General features: G+C 41.0%; 1 long non-coding RNA gene across 1 annotated transcript; it reads right to left on the bottom strand.

The window, feature by feature from the left end:
• Nucleotides 1-5,228: 5,228 nt before the first annotated feature.
• On the bottom strand, nucleotides 5,229-8,128 carry LOC124902712 (uncharacterized). The gene is made up of 2 exons (XR_007062776.1): nucleotides 7,459-8,128; nucleotides 5,229-6,626 (listed from the first exon to the last, which is right to left on the bottom strand). It is a non-coding gene; the product is annotated as an uncharacterized LOC124902712 (long non-coding RNA).
• Nucleotides 8,129-15,820: the final 7,692 nt, after the last annotated feature.

Below are 15,820 nucleotides of genomic sequence, written 5' to 3'. Positions count from 1 at the left end.
TCTACTAATGATCCTTTGAATTTCTGCAGCATCAGTTGTAATGTCCCCTTTTTTATCTCTAATTTTATTTATTTGGGTCTTCTCTCTTTTTCTCTTAGTCTGGTTAAAGGTTCGTCAATTTTGTTTATCTTTTCAAAAAATCCACCTTTTGTTTTATTGATCTTTTGTATTGTTTTCTTCATTTCAATTTCAATTTCAATTACTTCAGCTCTGATCTTTAGTTCTTTTTTGATGTAAGTCCTTATAGCTATAAACTTCCCTCTTAGTGTTGCTTTTACTGTATCCCATAGGTTTTGGTATGTCATGTTTACATTACCATTTGTTTCATCAAATTTTCAATTTTCTTCTTAATTTCTTCATTGACCCATTGATCATTCAGGAGCATACAAGTTAATTTCCATGTGTTTGTATAGTTTCCAAAATTCCTCATTATTGATTTCTAGTTTTATTCCATTGTGGTCAGAGAATATGCTTAATTTTATTTTTTTAAATGTTTTAAGACTTGTTTTGTGACCTAACATATGGTCTATTCTTGAGAATGATCCATGTGCTGAGGAGGAGAATATGTATTTTTTAGCCATTGGATGAAATGGTCTATAAATATTCATTGGGTCCATTTGGTCTATAGTGCAGGTTAAATCTGATGTTTCTTTGTTGATTTTCTGTCTAGAAAATCTGTCCAATGCTGCAAGTATGGTGTTGAAGTCTCCAGCTATTATTGTATTGGGGTCTATCTCTCTCTTTAGCTCTACTAATATTTGCTTTATATATCTGAGTGCTCCAGTGTTGGGTGCATGTATAATTACAATTGTTATATCCTCTTGCTGAATTGACCCCTTTATTGTTGTACAGAGAGCTTCCTTGTCTCTTCTTACAGTTTTTGTCTTGAAATCTATTTTGTCTGATATAAATGTAGCTACTCTTGCCCTTTGTTGGTTTCCATTTGCATAAGTTATCTTTTTCCATCCCTTTAGTTTCAGTCTATATCAAGCTTGTCCAACCCACGGCCCGAGGGCCACATGTGGCCCAGAATGGCTTTGAATATGGCCTAACACAAATTCATAAACTTTCTTAAAACATTATGAGGTTTTTTTGTAATTTTTTTTAGCTCATCAACTATCATTAGCATTAGCGTATTTTATGTGTGGCCCAAGACAATTCTTCTTCTTCCAATGTGGCCCAGGGAAGCCAAAAGATTGGACACCCCTGGTCTATGTATATTTTTATAGGTGAAGTGTGTTCCCTGTAAGCAACAGATGATTTTTTTTCTTTTTTTTTAACCACTTAGCCACTCTGTGTCTTTTGTTGGAGAGCTTAGTCCATTTACATTCAATGTTATTATTGATAAGTGAGGACTTGCTCCTGCCATTTTGTTATTTGTTTCTGATTGTTTGTAGTTTTATCTTCCTTCTTTCCTTCTTTCCTGTCTTCCTTTTAGTGAAGGTGATTTTCTCTGGTGGTATGATTTAATTTCTTGCATTTTATTTTTTATGTATCCACTGTATGTTCTTTGATTTGAGGTTACCATGAGGCTTTCAAATACTAACTTATAACCCATTATTTTAAACTGATGACAACTTAACACTGATTGCATAAACAAACAGGCAAAAAGAACACTAACAAAAACTCTACACTTTAACTTCATCTCCCCACTTTTAAACTTTTTTGTTGTTTTTCTTTATGTCTTATTGTATTGTCTATGTCTTGTTGTAGTTATTATTTTTGATTGGTTCATCTTTTAGTCTTTCTGCTTAGGATAAGAGCAGTTCACATACAATTACAGTGTTATGATATTCTGTTTTCTTTTTTTTTTTTTTTGAGACGGAGTCTTGCTCTGTTGCCCAGGCTGGAGTGCAGTGGTGTGATCTCGGCTCACTGCAAGCTCCGCCGCCCGGGTTCATGCCATTCTCCTGCCTCAGCCTCCCAAGTAGCTGGGACTACAGGCGCCCGCCACCATGCTTGGCTCATTTTTTTGTATTTTTAGTAGAGATGGGGTTTCACCATGTTAGCCAGGATGGTCTTGATCTCCTGACCTCGTGATCTGCCCACCTCGGCCTCCCAAAGTGCTGGGATTACAGGCATGAGCCACCGCGCCCGGCCTGATATTCTGTGTTTTTCTGTGTGCTTACTACTACCAGTGAGTTTTGTACCTTCAGATGATTTCTTATTGCTCATTAACATCCTTTTCTTTCTGATTGATGTACTTCCTTTAGCATTTCTTGTAGGATAAGTCTGGTGTTGATGAATTCCCTCAGTTTTTGCTTGTCTGGCAAACTCTTTATTTCTCCTTCATGCTTTTAGGATATTTTCACCAGATATACTATTCTAGGGTAAAAGTTCTTTTTTTTCTTCAGCACTTTAGATATGTCATGCCATTCTCTCCTGGCCTGTAAGGTTTCCACTGAAAAGTCTGCTGCCAGTTGTATTGTGGCTCTATTGTATATTATTTATTTTTCTCTTGCTGCTTTTTGGATCCTTTCTTTATCACTGACCTTCAGGAGTTTGACTATTAAATGCCTTGAAGTAGTCTCCTTTGGGTCAAATCTGCTTGGTGTTCTATAACCTTCTTGTACTTGGATATTGATATATTTCTCTAGGTTCGGGAAGTTCTCTGTTATTATCCCTTTGAATAAACTTTCTACCCCATCTCTTTCTCTACCTTCTCTTTATGACCAATAATTCTTAGATTTGCCTTTTTGAAGCTATTTTCTAAATCTTGTAGGCATGATTCATTTTTTTATTCCTTTTTCCTTCATCTCTTCTGACTGTGTACTCTTGAATAGCCTATCTTCAAGCTCACTAATTCTTTCTTTTGCTTGATCAATTCTGCTATTAAGAGATTCTGACACATTCTTCAGTATGCCAATTGCATTTTCAACTCCAGAATTTCTGCTTTTTAATTATTTCAATCTCTCTGTTAAATTTATCTGATAGAATTCTGAATTCCTTCTCCATGTTATCTTGAATTTCTTTGAGTTTCTTCCAAACAGCTATTTTGAATTCTCTGCCTGAAAGGTCACTTATCTCTGTTTTTCCAGGATTGGTCCCTGGTGCCTTAGTTTGTTTGGTGAGGTCATGTTTTCCTGGATGGTCTTGATTCTTGTTAATGTTCATCAGTGTCTGGGAATTGAAGGGTTAGGTATTTCTTATAGCCTTTACCACCTGGGCTTTTTTGTACCTGTTCTTTTCAAGTATTCAAAGGCTTTTCAAGTATTCAAAAGGATTTGGGTGTTTTGTTCTAGACCCTATCTGCATTAGGGAACACCCCAAGCCAGTAATGCTGTGGTTTTTGCAGACTCATAAATATACCACCTTGGTGGTCTTAGATATGATCAGGAAGAATTCTTTGGATTACTAAGTGGAGACTCTTGTTTTCTTCCCTTACTTTCTCCCAAATAAATGGAGTCTCCCTCCCTGTGCTGAGCTGCCTGGGGCTTGGGTTGGGTGACATAAGCACTCCTGTGGCCATTACCACTGGGACTGGGCTGCATCAGACCTGAAGCTAGCACAGCACTGAGTCTTGCCCAAGGCCCACTGTAACCACTACCTGGCTACCATCTATGTTCACTTAAGGCCCTAGGGCTCTACAATTAACAGGTGATGAAGCCAGCCAGACTTGTGTCCTCCCCTTCAGGGTGGTGAGTTCCCCCAGGCCCCAGGCAGGTCCAGAGATGCCATCCGGGAGCTAGGGACTGGAGTCAAAGATCTTAGAAGTCTACCTGGTGCTCTACACTATTGTAGCTAAGCTGGTACTCAAACCATGAGACAAAGTCCTTCCCATTCTTCTCTTCCCTTTCCACAGGCAGACGGGTCTCACCCTGTGGCCACCACCACCACATGCCAGCAAAGACTACTGCCAGGCTACTGCCAATGTTCACTTAAGGCGCAAGGGCTCTTCAATCAGCTTATGGTGAATGCTTTCAGGCCTGGGACTCACCCTTCAGGCAGTTGGCTTCCCTCTGGCCCAGAGCAGGTCCAGAAATGCTGTCCAAGAGCCAAGGCCTGGAATCATGGACCCCAAGAGCCCGCTTGGTGTTCTACCCCACTGTGGCCAAGGTGGTATCTAAACTATAAGACAAAAATCCCCTTACTTCTCCCTCTTCTTTTATCAAGGAGAAGGAGTCTCTCACCATGGCCACCACAGCTGGGAAGGTGCTGGGTCTCACCAGAAGCCAGCAAGTCTCAGAGTTTCACCCAACACCCACAGTGTGTACTACATGGTTACTGCTGCTGGTTATTCAGGGACCAAGGGCTCTTTAGTCAGCAGATGATGGATCCTGCCAGGACTGGGTCCTTCTCTTCAAGACAGCAGGTTCCCTTCTGGCCCAGGGTGTGTCTAGAAATGTCATCCAGGAGCTAGGGCCTGGAATGGGGATCTCACAACTCTGACCAATGCTCTATCTTGCTGTGGCTGAGCTGGTCCTCTTTACTCTTCCCTCCTCAAGCAGGAGAAAGGGGTCTCTTTTGGAGCCAGGGGATATGCTGCCTGGCAGTGGGGCGGGGTGGTACTAACAGTCCCTTAGCTGCCCTTGCTGATGTCTAAGTATGTCATGCCCCCCAAGCCCAGCTCAGCACTAGGATTTGTAGTCCTTGTGGCCTAGACTGCCTTTCAAGTTTATATTAGGCTCCAGAGAACTTCAGCCCATGGTGGTGAGGCTTCCTGGAACTCACGTTCCTATTGCTGAGATGGGTGATACCCCACTGGCTAGGGTTGGTCTGAATGCTCCCTTCATAGGCAGATGTCAGCTGAGCCCAGCCTGGTTTTGCTTTCTGCTGTGAGAGGGCAGCACTGAATTCAATGTAAAGTCTCACAATTGCTGTGCTGTCTCCAAAGCACATAGATTTCTCTGCAGCGGCAATGGGGAAGGGGTGGCATCAGCAACTCAAGACTGTCTTTCCTATCCTCTTCAGTGTCTCTTTCCATGATATGAAGTAAAACCAGGTATTTTGAGTGCTCACCTGATTTTTGGTTCTAGTGAAGGTGGTTTTTTGTGTAGATAGTTGTTGAATTTCTTGTTCCTGCAGGGAGGACAATTGGTGGGACCTTCTAGTCTTCCACCTTGCACCAACTTCTATGGTACTTTTTATTGAAAGTAAGCAAAATATCAAAGATGACTGAATTTAATGGATGTCATGGAAAGGAATGGCTCATGGACAGGAATATATGAGTAAAAGGGAATATATGGTTCATCAATAATTATATATTTCATAAGTTTTGGACAATAAGGTCAAAAACAAAATAACCTTTATTGGGACACTGTAAGTTTTAGAGGTTTTTTTTTGGCATTGATTTCAATTTGGAAAAAGTTTGCTCTGCTAAGGCAGTAGCAACAGGGATTGTCAATAAAAATCTTAAAGTAACATTAGATTTTAAAAGTAGCATGAATTTTATATATTATGGTCAAATATAGGAACACATAATTACACAATACAAACTATATTTATATGTTAAAATAGATTTATAAAATGGTAAATACGTATAATACATTCTATTTTTATTTCATCATATAAATCACTACCACTCATATAATAATTTTCATCATTCCTTAACACAGTAGCTAAGTCCATAAAGAATCAATATCATGTATATGTAGGTCTACAACTAGACCTACCTACACTACAATATTAGAGTAGTATGAGTTGTTTAATATTGTTTAATATTAATGAGCTGCCACATGCAACTATTGCAAATAGTAAGCCATTCCTGAATTCCTCCAAAACTACAAATCGGAACACAAAAAGAAGCAAGAAAATGGACAATGCTTTTCTGGAAAATGATACCCCATTAGGCATTCATGTTATGTGAGAGAAAAGACTTCACAGGATTAATTGATGTGTGCTTTTCTTACCCAAGAGCTTCTGCCACTCACTTGCTTTCCTTACTCGAGAGCAGTGGCTGTTTCTGGTGTGAACAGCAGCACAACCCACAGAACTTTAGACACAGTCATGTGGTGGAAATGATGGAAATGGTCTCTACCCATGCTTGAATGGGTGGTGGTTACAGAGGTGTATACACTTGTGCAAGCTCCTCAAACTAGGCACTTACATGTGAGCATTTTACTCTATGTAAAATACATGATTTTTTGTTTTGAGGATGTAGGGCAAGATATGTGGGAAAGTGTTTCCCTGGGGCCTGAAGGTTGGAAGAAGGAGTGTTAGGTGTATGGAACACACAGTACCCATACTTAGCACAACTTCTCAATGTCATCTCTCACTTGGACTATAACAATCTTTTTTTTTTTTTTTTTTTTTTTTTGAGACAAGGTCTTGTTATGTTGCCCCAGGCTATAGTTCTGTGGTGTGAACACAGTTCACTGCAGCCTCAACCTCTTGGACTCAAGAGATCCTCTTGCCTCAGCTTCCCAAGTAGTTGGGACCACAGGCATGCACCATCACACCTGGCTGGTTTTTTACCTTTATTTTTTGTAGAGATGGGGTTCCACTATGTTGCCCAGGCTGGTCTCGAACTCCTGGGCTCAGGCGATCCTCTCGCCTCCACCTCCCAAAGTGCTGGGATTATACATACATAAGCCACCATGCCCAGCCAACAATGTCTTCTTAATAGGCCTCTCTGCCTTTACTCTTGCCTTCCTCAAGCCTGTTCTCCACATAACAACCAGCTTGATCTTAAAACAAAAATGGCATTGTGTCACTATCTTATTTAAAACCATTCAATTGCATTCCCTTTGCTCTTTAAGATGCAGACCAACAACCTGGAAGTGATTTTTAGGGTGTTCCATGACCTGGCCTCTGTGCATCTCTCTGGCCTCATTTCACAGCACCATCACTGAGCCTTCTGTTTTCCTAAAGCTGCCACCCTAAACCTTAACATGGGCTCTTCTCTCTGGCTGAATGGTTTTCTCCTGGATGGCACTGGTTTGTCCTTCAGCCTCCTCAGACCACGCTCCTGTTTTAGGCTCTATCACCAGACTCTGTCTAGTAATTTATTTTATTGTCACCAGGTTTGTTGGCTCCCCTACCACCACAAACAGGCAAGGACTGTTATAATCATTGCACTTCTAGCTCCTACTTCAATTCCTGCCACAATGAAAGGAGCTAGAAGTACAATGAATATAATAGTCCTTGTGTAAATATTGTTGGATAAATGAATTTGTTTATTTCTGGTGTTTATTTGAGATAGGGTCTTGCTCTGTCACTCAGGCTGGAATGCAGTGATGTAGTGATGGCTCACTGCAGCCTCGAATTCCTGGGCTTAAGTGATCTTCTCACCTCAGCCTCCCAAGTAGCTGGAACTACAGGCATATACCACCACACCTGGCTAATTTAAAAAAAAATTTTGTAGAGACAGGGTCTCACTATGCTGCCCAGGCTGGTCTCGAAATCCTAGCTTCAAGCAATCCTCCCACCTTAAGCCTCTCAAAGCACTGGGATTAAAGGAATGAGCCACCAAGCCCTGCCAAATGGATGTTTTTAAACTGGAGGGTAGCAAAGACACACCTGGGTTTTTTAAAGGTCTCTGGCTGTAGTGAGGAAGGTGAAGGAAGTGGGTGAAACAGGCTGGAGGGAAGTAGCTGCCACTTCTGCATGGGCTTAGGACCTCACTGGACCAACTTCCCCTGTTGAGATCTAACGGTAAAAAATAAGACAGGTTTATTAGAAGTGACTTAAAGGCTGAGACAGGAAGGCAGAGGCCAAGATGGTGATCTTTTAGATGCCCTAACTCGCTTCAGGCAGACCTGTTCTGCTTTATATAATGGTTAAGATTTCATGGAGAAAGCCTTCATTACTGAAAATGAATTCCAGACCCCCTTTTTGTAGTGGAACGAACGTCAGACTGGGATCAAGAGCCCTGAAGTCCAGGTCTGCCTCCTTCAATGTATGCCCATTCCAGAGCTTCAGGGTAGGCAGGGACCTAGATGATATCTGTGGCCAGGCCAGCTCTGACAGGCAGAGTATACACAAGTGTGGCTGAGCCCTCAGGGACCTGCTCCAGCCTGAGTCCTTTCTTAGTCTGGCCTGAATTTCCTTAGAGGCTGAGGAAGGGGTCAATGAAACTGGCAATCATGTAACTGAGAGGTCCCAGGTCTGTATCTTAGCACATGCCTAGGGATATGCCATACGTCCTCCCACCCTCACCCCGCCCCTCGCACCCCCAGCTAAAAGGGAGAGACCTGAAAGGATCTGGCAAGTGGGCTATGCTTGGCTGTGAGCCTGGCACTAAAGGCTCAGGGTCAACACTCAGAACCAGGGTCCAAAGCATATGGCTCAATCTAGGGGCATGGCAGCCAACAAGAGCACCAGGATTCAGACCATGGACAGAGCCATGGACTCCCCAAGGCAAGTTTGCAGCCAGCAGCTGGAAGGACAGGCTGTTCTGTCTCCAGCTATATGGGCTGGGGTCAGGGAGGACCCTGGCCTACCAGGGACCTGGAGACAGATTTTTTAAAACCCAGATCGAATCTCTGTCCCATAGACTAAAAAGTGTTCTCTGACCCTGCCTGGGCAGAGTTAGTGGCTCTGTCTTCTGTGTAGCTTATGTGATGCTGGACTGCCATTGACTGTGAATAAGTCCATCTCTGTCTGTGCCAATTCAGTTTTGTATCCCTGGTCCCAATGTGGGATGGTGGGGAGGTGGGTTAGGACAGTAACTATTCATTGAATGGATGGATGGACAAGTGAGTGGATGGATGGACCAACAAACTAACTCAACATGTTGGGGAAAGGTTTGAGAGGCCCGAGAGGCCCAACAGGCACATGGGTATTCAGGGAAACTCCATGCCCTTCTGATACCCCGCTTCCTAGTTTACTGCATTTGCTTATTCATTTATTTGGCAAACATTTACTGCACACCTACTATGGGCTGACCATGGGATGTTTATTATGGGGTATTTAAAGTTGAACAAGACAGGGAACTAGTTAAGGACTCTGTAGACTTATTACCCAGATTTGAATCTTGTCCCTGCCACTCACTACCAGCCTAATGGTAAGAAAGTTACTCACTCTGTACCTCAGTTTTCTCATGTCTGAAATGAGGATAATCAAAGCACCTACTTTCTGGTGCATCAAGATATTAAATGCACTGACGATTTTAAGCCCTTTAGAGCACCTGACACATGGTAAATTCTACCTAAGTGTTAGCTTTTACTCTGTGTTCTCAGGTCACAGGCCTGAGGGGGTAAGGAAAGGTAATGAATTCAACTGAGAATAACCAAGGTAGAAGAGTGTCAGCAGAGGCACAATTTGTTGAGGGAAGGGGTAGGGGAGGCATTGTGGAGGAGGCAGTCTTTGAGCTGAGACGTGTGGGTTGAGTTCAGATTGGATTTTGCATGCTATGAGGTGCACTTCTTAGTGTGACAGTAGCCAAATATCAGTCCTCATATCCTGAAAATTTGAGGTCACTAGGGACCTGGACGCCACCTTGACCCACTGTTTCCTTTTAGGTTTAAGACCCCTGGTAAAACGTCTCAGTTCAAGGATACACAGCAAGTTATTTAACAAATTGTTCATTGATTCTGTAAGAATTTACTAAGAACTTAGTAAGTGCCAGGCACTAGGCTAGGTGAGGATCCAAAGATGAAACTATGCATTACCTACTCCAAAGGAGCTCACATTCTCAAATAGTGATAGAGGCCGAACATAAACCTAGATTTCCGGCCTCCCTGCTAATGGCTCCTACTTCATGTCAGGACAGTTCTCGGGCTGGAGCATTTTCTATAGGAAACAGGTCATTTGAGTTACTTTCCCCACTTTGGACATATTTATTTATAAACTGTAGATGTCCTCAGGCAGGACCTTGTGTAATCCAACCTCTGTTTCCTTCAGAGCCCAGCGTTATCTAGACACTGTTTCTTTCTTTCTTTTTTTTTTTTTTTTTTTGAGACAGTCTTGCTCTGTGGCCCAGGCTGGAGTGCAGTGGCGTGATCTCGGCTCACTGCAAGCTCCGCCTCCCGGGTTCACGCCATTTTCCTGCCTCAGCCTTCTGAGTAGCTGGGACTACAGGCGCCCGCCACCAGGCTGGCTAATTTTTTGTATTTTTAGTAGAGACAGGGTTTCACCGTGTTAGCCAGGATGGTCTCGATCGCCTGAACTCGTGATCCGCCCGTCTCAGCCTCCCAAAGTGCTGGGATTACAGGCATGAGCCACTGCGCCTGGCAGACACTGTTTCTTTTTAAACAACAGTACTACCACCGATGACTCACAATGACTTTCATAATCTGCTCTGAAACCTATCATTGTGCATGTTTGTTCATGTTATTTTGTCTTCCTTACCAATTTCTTGGCCCTGAGTCTCATTCTAGTTGTTATTCCCTTCTCCCCTCCTCTCCCTGCTTCCTGTCCCACCCTCAGCCCCACGGACTATAACCCCAGCTACATAAGGATCAGTTAATATTTGTTTGAGTGTCCACACTCCCTTAGCCCCACAAATTGCATACTGAATCTAGCCTACCCGCTTCATAAGGGCTGCCTTCCTACCCAGAAAGGGGACCAAGCAGAGAGCAATCACAGCCGCCCTGCATTCCTTCTCTGGTTAGTGGCCTCATGATCCACAGAGATTTTGTATCCATTAGACACAGCACTTGGAGCTGACAGACTTTTCAAGGGCCTAAAAAAAAAATGTTTAAGAACAACCCTCCCACTTTTTTTTTTAAACACAACTAAAATACAGAAAACTATAAAGTCAAAAGCAATAAACTTTCAATTAAATGTCTACCAACATAAATTTATACCGATTTCATTACTTGTTTATGCAATTTAATTATGATAGTGACTACTATATATCCCCTTCTTCCTTTATAAGTAGAACTAGGTTTTAGGTAGGTGCAAGGGTCACTTAGTAAAAGACTATACTTCCAGACTCTTTTGAAGCTAGATGTGGTCATGTGACTTAAGTTCTGAACATGGGAAGTGAGTACAAGTGATACCTGCCACTTCTGGTTGTGCAGTAGGGGATGAGCTCTTCATCTTTCTCCCTACACACTTGTGAGAGCTACTACTATGGACAACTCCAGGGGGCACATTAGCACTGCAGTCTGTGCAAAGGATGCTGTTTGTCATTGTCAATGTGGCTGCTTTGTCCCTGTGATGCAGACCTTAAGGCAAGAGCTGGAGTGGATGCTGAGGTGGAAGCCTGTGTACCAGCCCTGTACTCTCACTGTACTAAGAAGTCTCTTTGTTATAGCAGCTTAGGCTGTACTGAAGTAATACACTGGTATTTATAAACATTTTATTACATTTGAAAATAATTTGTAAGTTCATGTTTCTCACTTTGGAAACATTCCACCCATGCACTGCAATTGCCATGAAATCAAATCCTATAATGACTAGAGTGCATGTAGCCAAATGATTTCTAAAGAAAAAAATTTTTAAATCCTTTCAATATTTTTTTCAGCAAAAAAAATAATACTTGATGTGGGATACAGACAGACTTTAATATGGGATAGGATCTACAAATATAAATGTATCTAGCATCAATGAAATTCTCAAAAGGGCCTTGATCATTCTCAGTTCCCACAAGGTAGAAATTTCAGAATCACCTGTGATCTTTTCCTGTCAATTTATTCATTCAATAAATAGCATGTGGCAATAACTTTCAGACAATATATATATAGTAGAGAATAGCAAGACTGTATTCAGACATACCTAGGTTCCAGTCCTAATTCTGTTAGTTACTGTGTAACTTTGAGCAATCAATATAGGTCCCTACTTACCTCTAAAATGAGGACAATAATAACACCTACCTACTGGCCAGACATGATGGCTCACATTTGTAATTCCAACATTTAGGGAGGCTGCAGTGGGAGAATTGGTTGAGGTCAGGAGTTTGAGGCCAGCCTGGCCAATATAGCGAGACCCTGTCTCTATTTTTTTTTTTTTTTTTTTTTTGAGATGGAGTGTCGCTCTGTCACCCAGGATGGAGTGCAGTGGCACAATTTTGGTTCACTGCAACCTCCACCTCCCAGGTTCAAGTGATTCTCTTGCCTCAGCCTCCCAAGTAGCTGGGATTACAGGTGTGCGTCACCACACCCAGCTGATTTTTTATATTTTTGGTAGAGATGGGGTTTTACCATGTTGGCCAGGCTGGTCTCGAACTCCTGACCTCAAGTGATCCCCACCCACCTTGGCCTCCCAAAGTGCTGGGATTACAGATGTGAGCCACTGTGCCCAGCCCCCTGTCTCTATTAAATAAAATAATAATAATAGTGCCTACCTATTGTGTAATAAATAACTTGACTGGCCTTTGTCCCTGGTTTCTGGTAAAGAGACTTTAAACCCTTAGAACTTCCTAAGTAGCAGGAGTGTCTTTGTTATTTATGAGCTCCTTAGATTACACCTGAGTTTATGCTAACTGATGAGATGACACAGGGTGAGGATGGTCACCAGAAAGACCAACAATGTAATTAGAGGGTTGGGTCAATCTCCTAGGAGAGGAGGAGGACTGAAGATTGAGTCCAGTCATGTGACCAATGATCCAATCATGCCTATGTAATGAGACCCCAATAAAAACTCTGAACACCAAAGCTCAGTAGAGCTTCCCAGGTGGTGAACACATCAATGTGCTAGGAGGGTAATGCCATGGGGAGAGGTCATGAATGCTCTCCATTCAGAACCCTCCCAGACTCCACCCATGTGGATCTTCATTTAGCTGGTCCTGATTTGTATCATTAGTGCTTTCCTGAGTTCTGTGAGTCATTCTAGAAAATTATTGTACCTTAGGGGGTCATGTGAAACTTTGAATTTACAGCCAGTGGGTCAAAAGCACAGGTGGCTTAGGGACCCCCCAAAATGCAGCTGGCATCTGAAGTGAAAATAGTTTTACTGGGGATTGTGCCATTAAACCTGTGGAGTCCAATGCCAACACTGGGTGGTCAGCATCAGAATTAAATTGTATTTCTGTACACCAGTGTGTGTGAGGATGCTACCTCAGAAGGTAGTAAAAGTTAAGAAAATAAACACAAAGCACTTGTCAATAATAATAGCGATTATCTCATAAGGCTAGAAGGATTCAGTAAGATAAAATTCATGAAGTGCTTAGCTTAGTCATAGTACTTGAGACTGTTGTGAGCCACACACTATGAAACTCATAATTTGTCCATTTTAATTGCTAAGTAATATTCCATTTCATGAAAATACCACTGTATATCCATTATTTTATTGATACTTCAGCAGTTTCCAGTTTAGGGTATTAGTAATAAATTTGCAGTGAACATTGTCATACAAACGTTTTTGTGGTATAAGTGTTTTCATTTACTGTGAGTAAATTCCTAGGATTAAAACTAAATTATAGGGTCAGTGTATATTTAGTTTTATAAGAAATGCCAGATCATTTCTGAAAGTGTTTGTGCCATTTTACACTACCATCAAAACAATGTAAACATTTTACACTACCATCAAAACTGTAAAACAATGGTAAGTATCTGTGTATCTAAACATATCAAAACATAGTAAAGGGAGAGTAAAAATGTGGTATATAGGGCACTTAACATGGCTGGAAGTTGTCGTGGATGAGTCTGTGTGTGAACAGTGAGTGAATGTGAAGGCCTAAAACATTGTTGCACACTACTGTAGGTGTGAACATTGCACACTTAGGTTACACTACCTTTAAAATATTTCTTTCTTCAAAAACAAGTTAACCTTAACTTACTGTAACATTTTTATTTTATAAACATTTAAATATTTAAACTTTTTGACTCTTTTATAATGGCCTAAAGCACACACTGTATACTTGTATAAAAATATTTTCTTTCTTTATATCCTTATTCTATAAGCTTTTTTCTATTTTTAAATTTTTTATTTTTTAAAAATTTTTAAAATTTTTTAGTTAAAACTAAGACATACACATAGTAGCTTAGGCCTACACAGCATCAGAATCATCAGGTTGTCACTAGGCAACATAAATTTTTCAGCTCCATTATAATCTTATTGGACCACCATCATACATGTGGTCTGTTGTTGACCAAAACATCATTATCTGGTATGTGACTGTATAACAACAAAGGCAGGTTGAAAGTAAGAGGGTAAAAAGGGATATATCATGCAAAACTAACCAAGGGAAAGCAGAGTGACTACAATATTATCAGATTAAGTAAGCTTGAGGGGAAAGAAAATTATTAGAGATGGAGAAGGACACTATATAATAATAAAAGGGTCAATTCACCAGGAAGACATAGCAATCATAAATGTGTATGTATCAAACAACAGAGACGCATATGTGAAGCAAAAACTTATAGAATCCAAAGGTGAAATACATAAATCCACAACAGTTGGAGACTTCAACACCCCTCTCTCAACAACCAGTAGAACAATGAGACAGAAAATCAGCAAGGATATAGAGCAACTCACCAACATCATTAACCACTGATTCTAATTAACATTTATAGAACACTGCATCCAAGAACAGCAGAATACACGTTCTTTTAAAGTGCCCATAGCTTGAGGCCAGGTGTTTAAGACCAGCCTGGGCAACATAGTGAGAACCTGTCTCTTAAATAAATAAATAAATGGGGGGTGGGGGAAGCTCAACATCACTAATCATCAGAGAAATGTAAATCAAAACCACAATGAGACACCATCTCATGCCAGTCAGAATGGTGATTATTAAAAGGTCAAAAAATAACAGATGCTGGCGAGGTTGCAGAGAAAAAGGAACACTTTTATACTGTTGGTGGGAATGTTAATTAGGTCAACCACTGTAGAAGACAGTATGGTGATTCTTCAAAGACCTAGAGGCAGAAATACCATTTGACCCAGCAATCCCATTACTGGGTATGTACCCAAAGGAATATGAATTATTATATTATAAAGATACATGCACATGTATGTTCATTTGCACTATTCACAATAGCAAAGACGTGGAATCAATCCAAATGCCCATCAATGATAGACTGGATAAAGAAAATGCGGTACATATACATTATGGAATACTATGCAGCAATAAAAAGGAACCAGATCATGTCCTTTGCAGGGACATGGATGGAGCTGGAAGCCATTATCCTCAGCAAACTAACGCAGAAACAGAAAACCATACACCACATGTTCTCACTTACAAGAGGGAGCTGAATGATGAGAACACATGGACACATGGGGTGGGGGAACAACACACACCAGGGCCTATCAGGGGTGGAGTGGGGAGACGGAGAGCATCAGGAAGAACAGCTAATGGATGCTGGGCTTAATACCCAGGTTATGGAATGATCTGTGCAGCAAACCACCATGGCACAATTTTACCCATGTAACAAACCTGCACATCTTGCACACGTACCCCTGAACTTAAAAGTTGAAGATTTAAAAATTCATCTAATGAAACTAGTATTTCCCTTCTACTCAAATCAGGCAAAGAAGTACAAAAGAAAGAAAACTACAGGCAATATCCCTCATAAACTTAGATGCAAAAAATCCTTAACAAAATATTTGCAAATCAAATGCAACAAAGTAGTAAAAGATTTATACAGCTGGGATTTATTCCAGCTATGCAAAGCTAGTCATCATTCAAAAATCAGTCAATGTAATGTACACATTAATGGGCTAAAGAAAAACCATGATTCTATCAATCAGTACAAAAAAAGTTTTCTCAAATTTCAACACCATTCATGATAAAAACTCTGAAAAAAATGGTAGTAAAGGGAGAACTTCCTCAGCTTGATAAAAAGCATCTACCAAAAACCTATAGCTAACATTATATTTAATGGTGAAAGACTGAATGTTTTCCCTCCAAGACTGGAAACAAGGCAAGGATGTCTGCTATTACCACTCTTATTCAACATAGTACTAAAGTTTTAGTCAGTGCTCTAAGGCAAAAAAAAAAAAGGGGGGGGGATTACAGGCATACACATCAGAAAGGAAGAAAATAGAACTGTCCCAA

Source organism: Homo sapiens, chromosome 11 (assembly GCF_000001405.40).
Source record: "Homo sapiens chromosome 11, GRCh38.p14 Primary Assembly".
Classification (NCBI taxonomy): domain Eukaryota; kingdom Metazoa; phylum Chordata; class Mammalia; order Primates; family Hominidae; genus Homo; species Homo sapiens.
Note: the sequence above shows the minus strand (reverse complement) of the source record. Positions and strands in the feature narration are given on the sequence as shown.